An 18058-nucleotide genomic window follows, 5' to 3' on the forward strand; every position below is an offset into this window, starting at 1 on the left:
CTTATTCCTTCTTTTTCTTCTCCCTCTCCACCACCTGTCAATCCCCTTCACATAAGAGAAAACTGCAGTGTATAGTTGTATATGTGTGTGTATGCACTGCAATTTCATGTTCTCTCTCTATATGTAGTTTTATATACACACTCAGCTATTTATCATATTTATTAATTAGCATTCTGTGCGCTTCGTAATTTTAAAATCCATTATGTGGCACATTTTATGCTTCCCTTTAAAAATAATTAAAATGTCAGTTATTTGTTGTTTACGGTAACTGTTCTGAGTCCCCACTCCTACCCTACTTCATGGGTAAGTGGCTCTTAAAAATAGTTTCTGTTTGCTTTGCACTATGAGCTGATCATTATTGGAATCTACATAATAGGATATCTTCTGTGCACTGAAACAGAAGACAATAGTTGCAAATTTTGGAGGAAAAAAATAGCCGCTTTTTCTGGCCACTGATGTACGGTGCATATTTAATAAGTCCCCGTCCCTGGGCATGGCACTGGTATAATGGGCATGGCATATTATATAGAGTAAGTACCACAACATGCCATGTATTAAAAACATCTGATTAATATACTGCAGAAACCTAATTTATTTGTAGTTCTGAGCTTCCTTTGCTCACGCTCACAGCAAGCATTATTGCCATACTTTTTCGTACCTTTGCTTTCCAAACTGCTTGTCAATTTTAAGCAACAGAACCTGACTCAGGGCTTCTGTTTGATACATATATATATAGAAGGTGGCAACTGACTGCCCTGTGTAAAAATCATGGGATAGGACTCTTTTCCTCTCTCCATTCAGGAAAGAAATACTTTTAAAAGAGCTGCTGTATTCTCAGACTAGTCAGTCAACAGTCTCCCACCCATCCTTTAACAGATTTTTCATTCGGGGGAGGAGGTGCATTCCATGTCCAAAAAGATGTACTGTAATTAATCTTCAATAAATAATGTGCATAAATATAAAAACAGAAGTCATTGTTCATGTGGCATCTCTTACACAGTGGCCCCAAAACGTCAGTTTTATATACTATGGCTATTAGTGTCATTTCCAATTTTAGAGAAACAATCAGATAACCAAATAGAGTATTTTCCCAAAATGACTATGATCCGTCAATCAACATGTAGCTCATTAATGTACACAATCTTTTGCATCTTCCTCTTAAATATAAAATCCAAATTTTCCCAAAACAGTACTAAAAATAGTTTTCATTTCCAAGCAAATACCAAACTGCAATAAGCAATTTTAAGAGAGCACATTAAATGCCCAATGAGAAACATCCCAAGAAAGTACAATTAGAAGCTGTAGAAATTGTACCTTAATTCTTCTCTCGGTGTCATCTAACTTTAACTCTGCTGAAACTAGTTTCTTTGCCAAATCATCTCGTTCAGGTAGGTGTCTAGCTTCAGAGATCTCTTTCAGTTTCTGTAAGGAAAATTTTGTCCTAAATAGTTCACTTTCTGTATCTTTTACCCTTTTCTCAGTTGCCCGTTCTTTCTCTTGAGATTTTCTTAAGCGTTCTTTGAGTGCTGTAATCTCATTGTTATGACGAAATATAAGTTGTGAGATTTCATTTTCGGCATCTTCAAACTTATTCAGGGCTTTCTCCTGTCTGTACTGAAGCCTTTTCAAAGATTTATTTTCTTTTAGCAGCTCAGCTAACTTGACCTGGAGTTCAGATACTTCATTCTGCAACTCATTGATTTTTAGCAGTCTTGCAGACAGAATCCGTTTTGTAACAAGATCAGTATCTTTCCGAAGTGGCTCTCTATTGAGGCTCTGGGAGCGAAATCCCACTCGGACTCCCTTTCTGTTTGGTAGACCCTTAGGGCTTGGTTTCCGAGGGGCTAAAAAAGAAACAGGAATAATGTAAAGTGAAAGCTGTACCAAACACAGTGTTATTTGTTCATCCTAACACAAGTGGGTCCGTAACATTCTTTAGTTATTTTTGTCTTTAAGAAAGGATTTTACAATATTTAGTAAAGTATCAAGTTTTATTTAGAGCTCTAAATAGGTTTCTATTAAGAAAGGTATGCAATATTTTAAGAAAAATGATATCCCAATAGTTTATACGGAATTATTCTACATAGCTTTAAAAGACAGCAGTATCAGGCTTTAACCATTTTTAACTTTTTAGATAAGATGGCAAGTCAGAATTCAAACATGAGCATTATCAGCATCATCAGCATTAGCATGGTGCATAACAAACACTGGACAAAACATTGTGATATTCAAGTCATTCATGCCAAGATATTTGGGATCATTATTTCAAATGTGAAAATGTATGTTTTCAATTTGCATTTTTCTAATGATCAGTGATGTTGAGCTTTTTTCATATGCTTGTTGGCCATAAGTATGTCTTCTTTTGAAAAGTGTCTGTTATGTCCTTTCCTCACTTTTTAATGGGGTACAATGAGATACCGTCGCACATCAGTCAGAATGACTATTATTAAAAAGTAAAAAGAATAACAGGTGCTGGCAAGGTTGTGGAGAAAAAGGATCGCATATACACTGTTGGTAGGAGTATAAATTAGTTCAACCACTGTGAAAGACAGTGTGGCAATTCCTAAGACCTAAAGTCAGAAATACCATTTGACCCAGCAATTCCATTACTGGGTATATACCCAAAGGAAAAGAAATCATTCTATTTTAAAGACACATGCACATGTATGTTCACTGCAGCACTATTCACAATAGCAAAGACATGGAATCAACCAAAATGCTCACCAATGATAGACTGGATAAAGAAAATGTGGCACATATACACCATGGAATACTATACAGCCATAAGAAAGAATGAGATCATGTTCTTTGCAGGTTCGTGAATGGAACTGGAGGCCATTATCCTTAGCAAACTAACGCAGGAACAGAAAACCAGTAACACATGATTTCACTTGTAAGTGGAAGCTAAATGATGAGAACACATAGACATACAGAGGGGAACAAAACACACTGGGGCCTATTGGAGGGTGCAGGGCAAGAGGAGAGAGCAGATCAGGAAAAATACCTAATGGATACTAGGCCTAATGCCTGGGTGATGAAATGATTCATACAACAAACCCCCATAACACATGTTTACCCATGTTATAAACCTGCACATCCTGCACATGTGTCCTTGAACTTAAAACTAAAAAAAAAAGAAAGAAAAAAGAAAATGTATGTTTTCTCTACATTAATTACAACTTTCTCCATCTGGGGACAGGATGACAGCATATTATACAGCGAGATTTGTGGCTCAAATTTATCACTTAACTCTCTGGACAATTCAATCAAACCTTTCCAAGTCTATTTACCCAGCCCATAGAAAGAAGACAATATTATCTACACAACTAGGTTGTTGGGAGAGTTAAATGTTCTACATATTCTCTGTTAGTAATAAGAACATTCCACTTATCGGAGATGGAAAACAGAAAACAGAAGTACAGGTGTGTTTCTAAATGCTTCCTCAGAGGATTTCTTTTCTGTGATGTTCAAATCAAAAACCCTAATGTGAGAAGATGAAAACAAAAATCACATCCTAAAAAATATAAGTATATGAAATATTTAAAGAATACATTTTAAATCACAACATTTCTCAAAAATTTGAAATAATGTTTTTATTTTTACTAAAAGTTCATTAGCCTTAAGCCTCAATATTCAGAGCACCGGCCCTTTAAAAGAGGCATTTTGAAAGTCTGCTAAGAATAATGATCTTTAATCTACATGGTAACTGCATTTTTTTTCCAAGGAGAAAATGCATTCCAGAGTAAAAAAATGAAGAAACACTAGAAGATCCAACCTTTCCTTCCCCATTTCATCAGCCATGGATACTTGATTCCATTATGTAAACAAGTAAAGAATAACAAGTAATTTTTACAATTTAACATTACAAAGTTTCATTAAAAAGATAAAAGATTTTATAGAAGCTGTTTTGAATGTGTACTGATTTGGGATTCCAGCTCTATAAATGACTGAATACATGAAAGGAAGCAGTAATAAAAAGAAATGAGGGAGTGCTTAATTATTGCAACTTTGAAACTATGCTATCCATTATGGTAGCCACTGCCACATACAGCTATTGAGAAGCTTGACAAGTGGGTAGCCCAAACTGGGATATGCTATAATTGTGAAACACACACTGGATTTTGAGCACTTGATTCAAAAATAAAAATAATGCAAAATATTTCATAATGTTTTATACTTACTATCTGTAGAAATAATACTCATATATTATTAAAATTAATTTCATTTGTTTTTTTTTTAACCTGGTTACTAGAAAATATAAAATTACATATGTGGCTTCATTTGTGACCTGCATTATATTTCCAATGGGCAGCATTAGTTGAGAATATAATTTTAAAGTTGAAATGTCCATCATTTCAGTTTTCTTTCCCAACATATGTAGTTAATGGAATTTTGGTATATATACGCTATTATGGGATATATACTCAGCTCTTGGAATGACAGAAACTTTATACATAAAAATAATTATGTATAAAGATGAATGTCAATTGTTCCAAATATGGTTTTTATGTACAAAATTATACCGCTCATAAAACTTCATAGAAAGAGCAACTTGTTTTATATGAAAAGTTAAAGCCTAATAAGAATCAGGATAAAAATTTTTAGTCAGATAAAAAAGGGTTTCCATAACCAACTTTCTGACATCCTAAAACTCTGAGTATAAATTTTTTAGCATATTCTATAACTACAAACTGATCATTAACCTGAACTTACAAATATTTCCAGCTTTCATCTACCTTTTTATTTTCATTTATAAAACTATAAGACAAAATATTTTAAACCATCAAGTGCTAATAAGAGTAAGAAGAAAGATGATTGTTGTATATATCATTCTTCATCTCTCCTTCTTAAGTCACTCCCAAAAAGTGGGTGGAAAATTGCTTTTTCTTCCTTCAGGTGTTAAAAATAATATGACTCTTTTTTTAACATAGTAAAAATAAATTATGCATCCACCAAAAAAATCAAGATATGTTAATATTATTGAAAAAACAAATAATGGAATAATATATAATAAATGAACATGTATAACCAAAACTTATTAAATTTTACCATGAAAAATTTTGATACTGCATGAATTTTATGCAAAAAAAAGTAAAGTATGCTGAAAATTAAGGAAGGGGAAGGAAGAATATGCTATCAAACACGCAAACCCGAAAATTCGTTTAAAATGCTGTTTGAATCACATTTGTTTTGTCCCTAGGTTAGTCTATACTGATTGCAATTTAGTGTTTACAGAAACGTATCAGTTTGGTCTTGTTACTTGGTCTAAGGCAGACTAATTACCACAGATTTTAATTCAAAGGACAGTGTAAAACAGAAAACGGTACAAGTCAAATTGAAGGAAATAATTGAAATTTTCTGGCTGATGCTGGAACTGTTTTTCACAGCTTTTCTCAATTACCTTCTCAAATAAGGTAAGGCTTACAAAGTTCAGACTCCTTAATTGGGTGGCCTCCTAAGTTGTTTCTGGGGAATGAAGAAAAAAATTAAAGTATTCCTTACCAATACTACCCTAGGTATTTCTTGAGACTAACAGGCATTTTCTAAGGTTCAACCTTAAGATCTGTTTTGTTAGTTCTTAATTATACAGCAAAAGTTTAATAAGAGATCATGCTCTCAACTACAAAATTATAACAAGCTCCTCACTGAGACAGATTTGGAGAAAGAGACCAAAATAACAACAACAACAAAGCATTGTACTTACAAAAAAAGAAAAAGAAAAAGGTTCCCAATTGTTATAAATGGTTAGAAGTATGGAAATCCCTGAGGAGCTAGACTGGGGATCCATGAAAGGGTTTCTTTCAAAAGGAATACATATTCTTTGCAGTTTTTAATAAGCGAATATTATTTTTTGAAGTAAAAATTTATAAAGACAAACTTAATTATGTCCTTGCTTAAATCCTTTCAATGGCTAACTATTCGCCACAAAAACAGAGTCAATACATTAGCACAGGATGCAAGGCATTTCATAATGTGGTCCCTTGTTTCCCTTTTCCACCCACAATTTTACCACTCCTGGCCTTGCAATCTAAACTCTCACCATTTTAAGCTACTGCTGTGCTACTTTTATTAATGGGTACTGTAATTACCTCATTTGCCTTATTTTTCTATGCTGTACTTGTAAACCTTACATATTTTGTTACTAACTACAATGGGGTTTTCTTGACCAGAGATTTATTGAGATGAAGATATTTGTAGAATATTACATAGTCAAATATGTATGAAGGCCTATTTCCATTCTAGTAACATTTTAATAACAAAAATGACTTCTAATGATTAATCCAGTTTCCATTATAACACACTTCAAAAGAAAGCAAATTAGACCAAAGGCCCCAATTCCATTCCTAGGTTTAATTTGAATTTTTACAGTAAATACTGTATTACCTACAGTAAGTAATTTTACTCAATCTATTAAAAAGTCCCTTAACCACTTTATGTCGATGCTTTTTCTACTTTCAAAAAATGAAGATACAAAAAGGTACATATGATTTATAAACTTTTTTGCCTTTACAGTACCTCAGAAACCCCAAGACAAGCATTTATTTAGGAAAAAGAAAAAACAAACTGAGAAGGCTTAGCTATGTTTCCTTCTGTATACTGTATGACTTTGAATATAACAAATTTAATAGTACCATCAAGCAACATTTATATATACTTATAAGTATATAACCTATAAAACGTAAATCAGCCCACTTCCATGTATACAACAACATATATACTAATAAAAGAGTATCATGCACACACATTTTCCTTAAGCACTCAAAATGAGTCTTCTAGGTCCACCAGACTCTTTTAAAGAATGCTTACCTTGGTGATGTACTTGGCCATCTGAAGTTTGTCTTTTAGGATTTTTTCTCCTAACACTTGCAGGTGAAGAACTGACCAGCGATGATCGGCCAGAAGACTGTGGCGTTTCAAAATCAGATAAGTAAGAATAATGGTGTTTGCCTGCCTTTCTTTCTTGATCAGTACCTGGACTTCCTGCTCTTTCCCCCATTGTTTTGAAAAATGGTCTCTATTCACATAATTTCACAGATTATTTTCTCCAGAGGAGACTATGACAATACTGAAAAACATTTTCACAGTCTTCAGATCCTGATAATATTCATTTCTGTGCAATCTATTTTCTCCACAATGTATTTGTAGACCACAATTCACATTGGCATCCAGAAGATAAACTTTTTTGCCCTGAAATTAAGGAAGGGGAAAGGAGACTTATCATACAGTCTCTACAGTTTCTACAGTTAATTACAATGAAAGACACTAAAAGCAAAATAATATATAGCTTACAATTTTTAAAAGAGGCTACAATTTATCTATATTTTCACAGATAAGTTACTTACAGTATTTGGAGAAAATACAGACTGTCATAGCCTAGATAGATAATAAGTACCTGACATACAACTACTTCTGAATAAATGTTAACTGAAGTTGACTGTTTAATTTTAAGAGTTATACTAGAGGCAAATGCTGAATTTTAATGGACAATAATGATCAAATCACCAGTTTTTTCTTTTTTAGGCAGGGAGGCAGTGGGAGTGGAAGTAGTGGTGATAGTAAAGAACAAACCTGCTAATAAGAATAAATACACTTTGGGAGGCCGAGGCGGGCAGATCATGAGGTCAAGAAACCAACAAGGTGAAACCCCATCTCCACTAAAAATACAAAAATTAGCTGGGCGTGGTGGCACACGCCTGTAGTCCCAGCTACTCAGGAGGCTGAGGCAGGAGAATCGCTCGAACCCAGGAGGCCGAGGTTGCAGTTAGCCAAGATGGCGCCACTGAACTCCAGCCTGGTGACAGAATGAGACTCCATCTCAAAAAAAAAAAAAAAAAAGAATAAAGAATAAAAATATCCAAGATTGACCACACAAAAAATGTATAACTAAAGTACATTTTTTAAAAACTAAAAGAAAAAATACTTGATGAGAAACATTTGCAAACATGACAAAAAATTGTTATCATCTTCAATACATAAATATATCATCCTTTGAGAAAAATATGAGGTAAAACAATTAAATGGGCAAAATATATAAGACTCCAAAAAGGCAACATAAATTATTAAAGATTTTTCGAAATAATAACACTCAATGCTGTCAGAGTTGCTATCAGAAAAAGATCCCTAGAGTTTTTTTGGAAAAACACTGGCAAAATGTATTGTCACTTTAATTATGCTTTAACCTTTGATACAATAATTTCTGGACTCCAATAAAATAATGCTAAAATTAGGAGAAAAGTTATGTGCAAATATTTAATGTAGTACAGTACTTTTTTTTTAATGGAAGCAAATTAAATGCCTAATCATTGAGGAATAATTAAGTATTTTATAAATCCATACAGCAAAATATCATGAAGCTACTGATAATGTTTACAAAAAGTCTGTATTTAAGGAAAATGCTTATACTATTATCATAAAGAAAAAATTCAAATTAGTGCATACAGTATGATCTCAACTACACACATTCATTAAAAAAATACTGAAAATACTATTATCCCTATCTGAATTCAGAAACTGAAAACATTTTCCAAGCAAGGAATACAAGAACACCAAAATAGTCCCTGCCTGACAACATGGATTTTAGATAATTTTATCTCTCCATTAACATATTCTGGTTTTCTAACACAACAAAATTGGATTACTTTTATAATCCAATTTAGAAGAAACAAACATCTCTGATGAAATTAGTATTAAAAGTATCGTTCTTCTAGTAATAACATATGAAAGGACATGCACAAGGCAGCACTATTTATTGTAGCACTATTGTAAGTAGAAAACTAAAACAATAAAATGACCAATAAGAACTGGTCTTACAAACTATAAACATCCACACAATGAAGTATATGTAATACTATGAAGCTATTAAAGGAATGAAGACTATCTCTGTGTATTGCTCATAGTCTGGCATAATCTCTAGGATATACAGAGAAAAGAAAGATGGAAAAAAGCCTGCAGTATGCTACCATTTATCAAGGAAGAAGGGTAACATACATAATTTTTATATATTTAAGTAGAAGGAGAAATCAAATAATTAAGAAAAATAAAATGGGTTCGCTAGGGTAGGGCTGTCCAACAGAACTTTCAGCCAGGATGGAAATGTTCTATAGTCTGTGCTGTTCAAGATGGTGGCTGGCCACATGTGGCTATCAAGCACTTGAGATGTTGCTGGTGTAACTGAAGAACTAATTTTTAATTTTATTTAATTTTAATTAATTTTAATTTAAGAAGCCACATGTGCTGGTAGTTAGCTTACTAAACAACACTGCTACAGGGGAAGGAAGGAAGCAGAGTTTAGGAAAAGGGATAGAAGCTAGGTTTCTTTGTATATAATTTTTGTAGATTTAACATTGGAAATTACGATTTTTAGAAATGAGATTTTTGAAAAGCAATTCCCATAAATCAAAATAAAATTAGATAAATCAATCTACATACATGGTTGGTGGTAAAACCACACAAATTAACCAGTTCGAATGACTTTAAAACACAATAACTTGACTTTATATTCCTAGTGAGACATAATGACCAAAAAAAATTTTTAAAGCCATTCCAATAATCATATTTTGCTACTCAGATATTTTATTCTCAGACTTATACACATGTACTGTGAAATAAAACAAATGAGTAATTATTATTGGTGCAGCTGGGCACTAGAATTTTCAACATGGAAGAAGTAAATATAAACTAATGTGAGTTTTAAAACTTTGACATTCAAAATTTGAATTATGAGTGTCAGTATGAATTTATGATGGCTTTTATTTATTTAAAAAAAACTTCTTCACTTTGTCCACTGAAAAATCCCAGAAACAAGGAAAAAACTAGGAACATTCCTAGAACCCAGATCTAGTGTCTATATGCCACTTCCCATTGAAAGAACCTAAAGTTCCTTGTGAAATGCCTGATTCCATTTCTGAGGGAGGAAACACACAAAATAAATCTAAGAATATAGCAACCTGGTCATCCTAGAAAGCAAGGACGCTATCAGATACTACTGATGGAGTGTCAGTCAAATGGACTCAGGAGCCAACTTCAAGGAACTACTTGCCAAAGACAAGGCAAATTTGTTATCAATACGAATTATATCAGCAAACGATTTAAACATATCAAAAGTGTTTAAATCCTTGAGTTCATATGATATATTTTACAAAAACCTAATTATTCACCTTTGGAAGATTCTAGGAAACCATCTCATTTAATTAAAAAATTTATATATAAAAAAAATCACACATGCATCTTGCCTATACTCTTAAAAAGCTATTATCTGAAAATAACAAAATATTAGATGGGGGGAAGTATTTCTTTATGGAATTATTCTAGTTAACAAATAAAAAATAAAATATTAAAATGACAGAATTAGACGAGTGACATTTCACAACTCCTAATGAAATAATGAAGCTATATAATGATCATAAATGGCTGTATTGCTACAGAAAAGTAACAGCCAGACACCATGTCTCTGATAGGACACAATAATACTTCTGAAGTAATCTCCCCTCCTCCCCACAAAAATTAAATCTGAATCTACTGAAGCCTGTAAATGTAAATGACACTGAAAGTAGGAGAGAGATCGAGGTACAAAGAAGCAATCAGAAAAAATCCAGACTGTAGCAAACTCTACAGGAAAAACTAGATTCTTTAATGAAGAAATTGCAAGCAGAACAAGAGAGAGGAGAGAAGAGGGTATTTATATAATAAGAAAGTCTCAAGAAACAACCACCAAGTGCAATCCATGGACAGTATTTCACTCCTGATTACAATAAATTGTATTAAAAAATTATAATCAAGAAAATTTAAACACTATTTATTGTTATTAGAGACAGAGTTTTGCTCTGTTGCCTAGACTGGAGTGCAGTGGCATGATCATGGCTTACTGCAACCTTGAACTCCTGGGCTCAGGCAATCCTCCCACCTCCTGAGTAGCCAGAACTACAGGCATGCGCCACCACGCCCAGCCCTGACCACATATTTAATATTAAGGAATTATATTGTTTTAGGTGAGATGTTGATACTGTCTTTTTTTTTTTTTAAAGAATCTTTATCTTTTAGAGATATATGTTCAAATATTTATAAATAAAATTGTCTGGGGTTCGCTTCAAAATTAACCCAAAGGAAAATGGGTAAGGGTAAAGATTATACAAAATTGACTGTGAGTTGATGATTATGTAAACTGATAGAAGACTTTTGAATTAATTATTCTAATATTTCCAATTCTGTATTTGTTTGATATTTTCTTTAGAAGAAATATTTTAAAAAGCAACAAAAAACACAACTTTGATTTTACTTCTGATGTGCCTAGCAATCGCAGTCTCTATCAAAATTAGCAACTGTATCTAAAATCAACAATTCCTATGGCAAGTACTAATATTAAAAATATACATAAATCAGCCTGAATCTTTCACTCTGCAATCAAGTGAAAAAATATTTACACATGAAAAAAATTGTCTAGAAAAAAAGGATAATGATAACAGCAAGTAAGTGGCTCTAGCACTCATTAGCTATGTAAATCTGGAGCGTTTACCTCTCAATGTAAGTCTAACTTTTTAAAATGTAAAATGGTAATATTACTAGTAACTACTTTAGAGAATTCTTGTGAGGATTAAATGGGATAATTCAATAACTATTACACAGTAAGAACTTGGTAAATATCAACAATTATATTAGCAATTCAAACACATATGAGATGCTCAGTAAATTATAACTGATGTTCTTTGTCAACAACTTTCAGTTTAAATTCCAATAATATAATTAAAAGTTGGTTACATGGTAAAGATGAAAATTATTTCTGCTTACATTTGCGTAGCAGAAGTAGCTTCCTAGGAACTCCCTATCCTATCTAAATCCGAGGGGCCCACCAACTTTCTATGGCAAAGGGGAAGAATACACACAGTGTTCTCTCCCTGCCCCCCCTCAAATACTTCCACATAGTTCCATAAAAATAAGTAAATAAAGGAAATATCCAATGTCCCATTATCCAAGTCCTGCTCCCTGAAACAACCATTTTAATGGCTTATACCTTTATATGTACGCTATATCTTAAGTTAGCAATTTTAGACTATGAAAGATGAGTATTTAACTCACCCTTCATTTTATATGATTGCAACATGCAACCACATGTTGGTTATGCATGGTTTTTCTCTTAGAATTCCTAATTGTCTTTTTTTTCCTATTAAGTGGAAAAAACGTTTCTTATATCACTAATATCTACCAGCTTCTTAATCTACCAATAGCCTGAAGTCCATTCCATTCTTCCTCCTAAAGACATTTTCCTCGAATTTCCTATTCTAATTTAAACCAACTACATTCTAGACCTATTGTACTGCTGTCATTCTGGAATTACTTTTATTGAATTCCTGAGTTAGTGCACTATTTCATTTAGACCATGTCATGTTTATTAGTTTCCATCATCATTTTACTGGTCCACATCCTTAAATAATTTCTTCAGAAAGGGTTTATGGTTTAGGAAGTAAATGTTCTAAGTCCTTGCATGCCTGAGAATGTCGTTATTTTACCTCACACTTGTTACTTTTCATACATTCCAAATTCTAGGTTATTTTCTCTCAGAACTTTGAAGACACTGCTTCACTGTCTTAAACCCTCAGCATTGTTTGTGAGACATGTTATAATCATTCTTTTATTCAAAATATATCAGCATTATTTGTGACACATGTTACAGTCACTCTTTTATTCAAAATATATTTCTTGAGCTCTATGTAGCAGTAATGAACAGAAAGTCAATTAATGAACAGAAAGTAAATTCCCTTAGGGAATTTACACTCTAGTTATACTAAAACAGATTCTCATTCCTTTATAGGTTATCTTTTTCCTTTTTTCGCTCCCTAGGTGCTTTTAGGGCTTTCCCTCTTGTTATACTGAAATTTCACAAGAACATAAATACCAGTGAGCCTTTTTTGTTGTGTTGGGACCCTTTCTCCCCCTCTTCCTTTCAATCTGGAAATCTGTATCTTTAAGCACCAGAGGTTTTCTTATATTGTTCTTCAGATAATTAACCTTTTTTTCATTTTCTTTTTGAAATTTCTCCTAGTTAAATAATAAGGCTACTTTTTTCTTCTATTTTCAAAGAGTTTTTTTCAATTTATCTTCTAAACCATCATTTAAAAAATTATGCCAATATCTTCATTTCCAAGAACTCTTTGTTGTTCCGATTTTTAAAATAATTATTCTGTTCTCGCATTACTGAGGTAATATATTTTTTTCTCTGAGTATACTACATAAACATTTTCTGTTTAAAGTCTCTTCTGATCCAAGAATTACCTCTGCTTCATGTAGTGTCAGCTTTTCTGTTTCTTTATCTTGGGCTTTTTATTTACATACTTCTGGTTTTATTCCTTTGAAGATAATTTCTGGTTGATCATTTATACTTAAAAAAAAAGAAAAGAGAAGGAAAGGAAATGAGACCACTCCTAGGAAATCCCCTCGTTTTAGCAGACCAGCTGGACCAATTCCTAGGACCCATCTTTTACACCTGGGCTAAAAACAACGTCTATCATAAATATCCTGTTCACAGGAGAAGAAAGGGGAATAATTAGGAGAGTGGTCATAGCCATCTGGCAGAGGCAACACCCTCCTAGGCAAAAAGTCTTGCCAGCCAAACAAAAATTTCCAAATGTCAATCCCAACTGGAATAATCACAATCCCAGGGACTGGGCCCAAATGCAGGACCTCAGGAAACTAATAATTAAAGGGATCAAAGAGTCCATTCCTAGGACACAAAATGTCTCAAAGGCATTCGAAATTCAACAAGAAAAAGAGGAAATTCCCTCTGCATTCCTGCAAAGGCTCAGAGATCAAATGAAAAAATAGTCCGGATTAGATCCGGAGGACCCAGTAGGGCAAGGCCTCGTGAAAGTTAACTTTGTAACTAACAACTGACCTTGCAGGCCAGGGAGTGCAGCTGCAGGTGTGGGGGCGGCAGGAGCCACAAGCCGGAGCAGACAGCCAAGATAACGGTGGACAGTGTGGGAAAGCTAGCGTGAGTAAACCTTTAATAAAAGAACTAATGTCTGTATTACACAAAGGGAGTCACTGGGGACCCCAGGCTCTGTGTGATGCAATACTTAGGAATTATGGGTGTATAGGGATTTATACCCTCACTAAACAAGTATGTGGAAGTCGTGTAACTTGTCAAAGAGTAAACAAAAAGGTGATTAGAAAACAGGCCACAGGAGGAAGGCCTCCCGAACTAAGACCATTTCAAAGCATTCAAGTAAATTTCACAGAAATGCCCAAAGCAGGAAAACTAAAGTATTTGCTGGTAATCATAAATCACCTTTCCGGTGGGGTGGAAGCCTTTCCCCTTCCCAATAGCCACTGCCAGGAATGTGGTCAAAATAATATTAAAACAAATTTTACGGCTGGGCGCGGTGGCTCATGCCTGTAATCTCAGCATTTTGGGAGGCCGACGCGGGTGGATCAACAAGGTCAGGAGATGGAGACCATCCTGGCTAACACGGTGAAACCCCGTCTCTACTAAAAACACAAAAAATTAGCTGGGCGAGGTGGCGGGCGCGTGTAGTCCCAGCTACTTGGGAGGCTGAGGCAGGAGAATGGCGTGAACCCAGGAGGCAGAGGTTGCAGTGAGCCGAGATCACGTCACTGCACTCCAGCCTGGGCGACAGAGCGAGACACCGTCTCAAAAAACAAAACAAAACAAAACAACAAATTTTACCTAGATTTGGCCTGGTGAAAAATATTAATTCAGACAATGGGAGCCCCTTTACCTCAAAGGGTGTTAAGGGAATTATGGAAAGTTTACAAATTAAATGGAATTATCCACACCCCTTGGCATCCCCCTTCCTCTGGAAAGATAAAAAGAGTAAATCAAACTCTCAAAAAGCTATCACCAAACTAATCTTAAAAACTAAAATGCCCGGAACCAAATGTCTCCCAATAGCACTCCTTAGGATTAGAACAGCCCCAGGAAAAAACTTGGGATTGTCCCCCTACAAGCTATTATATGGGCTCCTATATTTTGGCAGAGCTACAAATCTCCCTACTATGGAAACCAAGGATCAATTCTTAAGAAATTATAAACTGGCCATATCCTCCACCCTGTCACCCCTTAGGTTAAAAGGACTTCTAACTCAAACTCCGCCTCTTAAGTTTGCTGTTCACCACTTCCAGCCTCATGATTTCCACTTCTAGCCTGGTGATTTGATGCTGATTAAAACTTGGAAAGAAGACAAGCTCCACCCAAGCTGGGAAGGACCCTCAAGTGCTCCTAACCACTGAAACAGCCATGCAAACAGCTGAACAGCAGCAGATTCACTCTACTCCAATCAAGGGACTGGTAAAACAGACCCCAGAAGGGAGGGGAAAACAACAGTAAAAAGTGCCTGGGTCACCTAAGGAACCCTTAAAGTTAACTCTAAAAAAAAATCTAAAAAGAAAACATAGGCTGGCCCCATTTCTGGAAGTTAATATGGCTAAAATGGGCTACTATACAAAAAGCAGAACGTCAAAATGGAAACTGGCAGGGAACTCCTCCCTACCCAATCAAGTTGGTAATCAACGTAACCAAGATGGTAGCACCACAAACTATAAGATTTAATACCTGCCCGGTCTTACCTTGTGGGAATTTGAAAAATCAGAGACAGCTCTCACAGGCAAATAAGTATCTTTGCCCTGAACCAGATACAGATTACAGCAGCGCATGACTCCGCCCCAGCTGGGATGATGTATGGTAAACTACCCAATTTCAGGGATGGACGGTAAACACGGGGTGGGTAACTCCGAGCTGGAGACCCTTAAAGAATAAACTACATCTGTCCAAGGGCTCCCTGCCAAATAACTGCCAGAATTTAAAATGCAATCCTATACTCATCACCATTAACAATCCAGCCATTCTAAACCAAGAACCAAAGGAAGCGTCTTGGGTATATGGGTTAAGAGCAGACATCACAGGGAAAGACCCCCTAGGGCAATTCGTTCTCAAAAATCAAAAACTCAACCTCCCATTTGCCTGAGACTACTCCAACTCCAAACCCTAATAAACACTTTAGTCCACCAAATAATAACCCTAAAAGGGTAAAAATAATTGAGGTAAAGAATTTAAGGCAAACCTTAGAAATTGAGACAGGGTACAGGGATGTGAATGCCTGGGTCGAATGGGTCAAATTTTCGGTACAAGCCCTCAACAAGAGTAACCACTACAAGTGTGCTGCGAAACAACCTCAGGCAAAGGTGGTTCCATTTCCTCTAGGATAAAATATCAATCCTGAAGGAATGCGTTGCATGTTGGCTCTATACCAGAACAAGGATGCATAGGAAAATGAAACTTATAAAAGTCTGTCATTGTTCTTTCCTGCATTGCGGAGGTCAAATCCCAGAGCAATTCCCTCGTTCTCTATAGGGAATATAAACCACCCCTCTTGTCTCTCTAGGTGGGGGGCAGAGTTCAATAAGCCCATGGGAGAATTTTCAACTTGTACCCACATCCCAAACATCAGTGGTAAGGCAATGGCAATCACTCAGCTCTCCACATACCCAGTGCTAACGTCATGTGGTATTGTGGGAAAAGGAACCTCCGTAACCTGTTACCATCCGATTGGATAGGGACTTGTGCTTTAGTCCAATTGGCCATTCCCCTCTCCCTGGCATTCCATAAGATACCCAAAAATACACATGGCCACCAAAACCAAAAAGATGTAACAAATTCTTTTAATCCCAATATACATGTTAACTCAATAGGAGTCCCTAGGGAGATGCCTAATGAACTTAAGGCCCGAAACCAAATACTTGCTAGGTTTACGTCAGCACTCTTCTAGTGGTCAACTATTAATAAGAATGTGGATTAGATTAACTACATCTATTATAATCAACAAAGACTCATCAATTATACTCAGATGCCCTCAAAGGGGGTAGCTAGCCAGTTAAATGCCATCAGCCAAATGGCCTGAGAAAACAGGCTTGCACTAGACATAATACTAGCAAAAAAGTGGGGCATATGTGTTATGCTGGGTGGGAAACGTTGTACTTTCAATCTTAACAATACTGCCCCAAATGTAACCATCATGAAAACTTTACAAGGACTAACAACTCTAGGCAACAAACTGGCAGAAAATGCTGGAATTAATAACCCATTTAGGGGTTGGCTAGAAAGTTGGTTTAAAAAATGGAAAGGCATGGTAGCTTCAATCCTTACATCTCTCATAACTGTGGCAGGAGTCTTAACAGCAGTGGGATGTTGTATTATCCCTCGTGTGAGGGGACTAGCACAGAGATTAATTAAAACGGCTATTAATAAGCAAATGCCCATAACTTACCAGCAAAATAACCTGCTACTATTAGAAACCAAATTAAACTCACTCTCCTAGAAAGAAAAAAGTTAACAACTTCTAAAGCAATTCAAGTACCAGAAAGGTTTAAATAAAAATGCAACCAAAGAAAGTAAATAGAAAAGAGGAGAGAATTAGTGAGAAAACATTTTAAATGGTCCACTTTCAAGGCATGATAAATCTAAGCACTGGCAGCCAGCCTGCAAATGTAACAAACCGCAGGGCTCATGCACCTAGAGGGTCACAATAAGCGAACAGAATGTAGAGGAGGGGTCAGCCAATAAAAGGGAAGAAAGTTTAGTTATTGGGAAATCGAAATTTAAGAGAGGAAGGAGATGGGGTAATCCATCAGCCTTATAAGGTATCCTTATAAGGGTAACCTTGTGAGGGGTATAAAACTTAGGCAACATCCAGGAAGATGGTAACCCCGCAGAATATAAATCATGCTGCTATAAAGACACATGCACTCATATGTTTATTGCGGCACTACTCACAATAGCAAAGACTTGGAACCAACCCAAATGTCCAACAATGATAGACTGGATTAAGAAAATGTGGCACATATACACCATGGAATACTATGCTGCTATAAAAAAGGATGAGTTCATGTCCTTTATGGGGACATGGATGAAGGTGGATACCATCATTCTCAGCAAACTATTGCAAGGACAAAAAAAACCAAACACCGCATGTTCTCACTTATAGGCGGGAACTGAACAATGAGAACACTTGGACACAGGAAGGGGAACATCACACACCAGGGGCTGTTG

General features: G+C 35.3%; 1 protein-coding gene and 1 long non-coding RNA gene across 6 annotated transcripts in view, besides 1 other annotated feature; one reads left to right on the top strand and one right to left on the bottom strand.

The window, feature by feature from the left end:
• LCA5 (lebercilin LCA5) overlaps nucleotides 1–18058 on the bottom strand; it is a 53792-nt gene that overhangs the window by 26907 nt on the left and 8827 nt on the right. For 3 of the 5 annotated variants that reach the window (XM_047418251.1, NM_001122769.3, XM_005248665.5), the window contains exons 2-3: nucleotides 6808–7188; nucleotides 1315–1844 (exon numbers count right to left, since the gene is read on the bottom strand). In XM_047418251.1, coding sequence (XP_047274207.1) covers nucleotides 1315–1844; nucleotides 6808–6997 — 720 coding nt within the window. In that variant the 5' untranslated portion in view covers nucleotides 6998–7188. Of the gene's footprint in view, nucleotides 1–1314; nucleotides 1845–6807; nucleotides 7189–13266; nucleotides 13373–18058 lie in introns of all 5 variants that reach the window. The other 2 variants (XM_011535504.2, NM_181714.4) reach the window with 1 other exon arrangement.
• Nucleotides 13323–14522: an enhancer, noted in NCBI's record as "CDK7 strongly-dependent group 2 enhancer chr6:80234937-80236136 (GRCh37/hg19 assembly coordinates)". NCBI's record gives its function as "activates an origin of replication core promoter dependent on BRD2, BRD4, P300/CBP, MED14 and CDK7 cofactors, with strong dependence on CDK7, by STARR-seq in HCT116 cells {active_cell/tissue: HCT116}" and the evidence as "EXISTENCE:reporter gene assay evidence [ECO:0000049][PMID:35650434]".
• LOC124901348 (uncharacterized) lies at nucleotides 13837–17396 on the top strand. The gene is made up of 2 exons (XR_007059654.1): nucleotides 13837–13984; nucleotides 15078–17396. It is a non-coding gene; the product is annotated as an uncharacterized LOC124901348 (long non-coding RNA).

Source organism: Homo sapiens, chromosome 6 (assembly GCF_000001405.40).
Source record: "Homo sapiens chromosome 6, GRCh38.p14 Primary Assembly".
In the NCBI taxonomy this organism is placed as follows: Eukaryota; Metazoa; Chordata; class Mammalia; order Primates; family Hominidae; genus Homo; species Homo sapiens.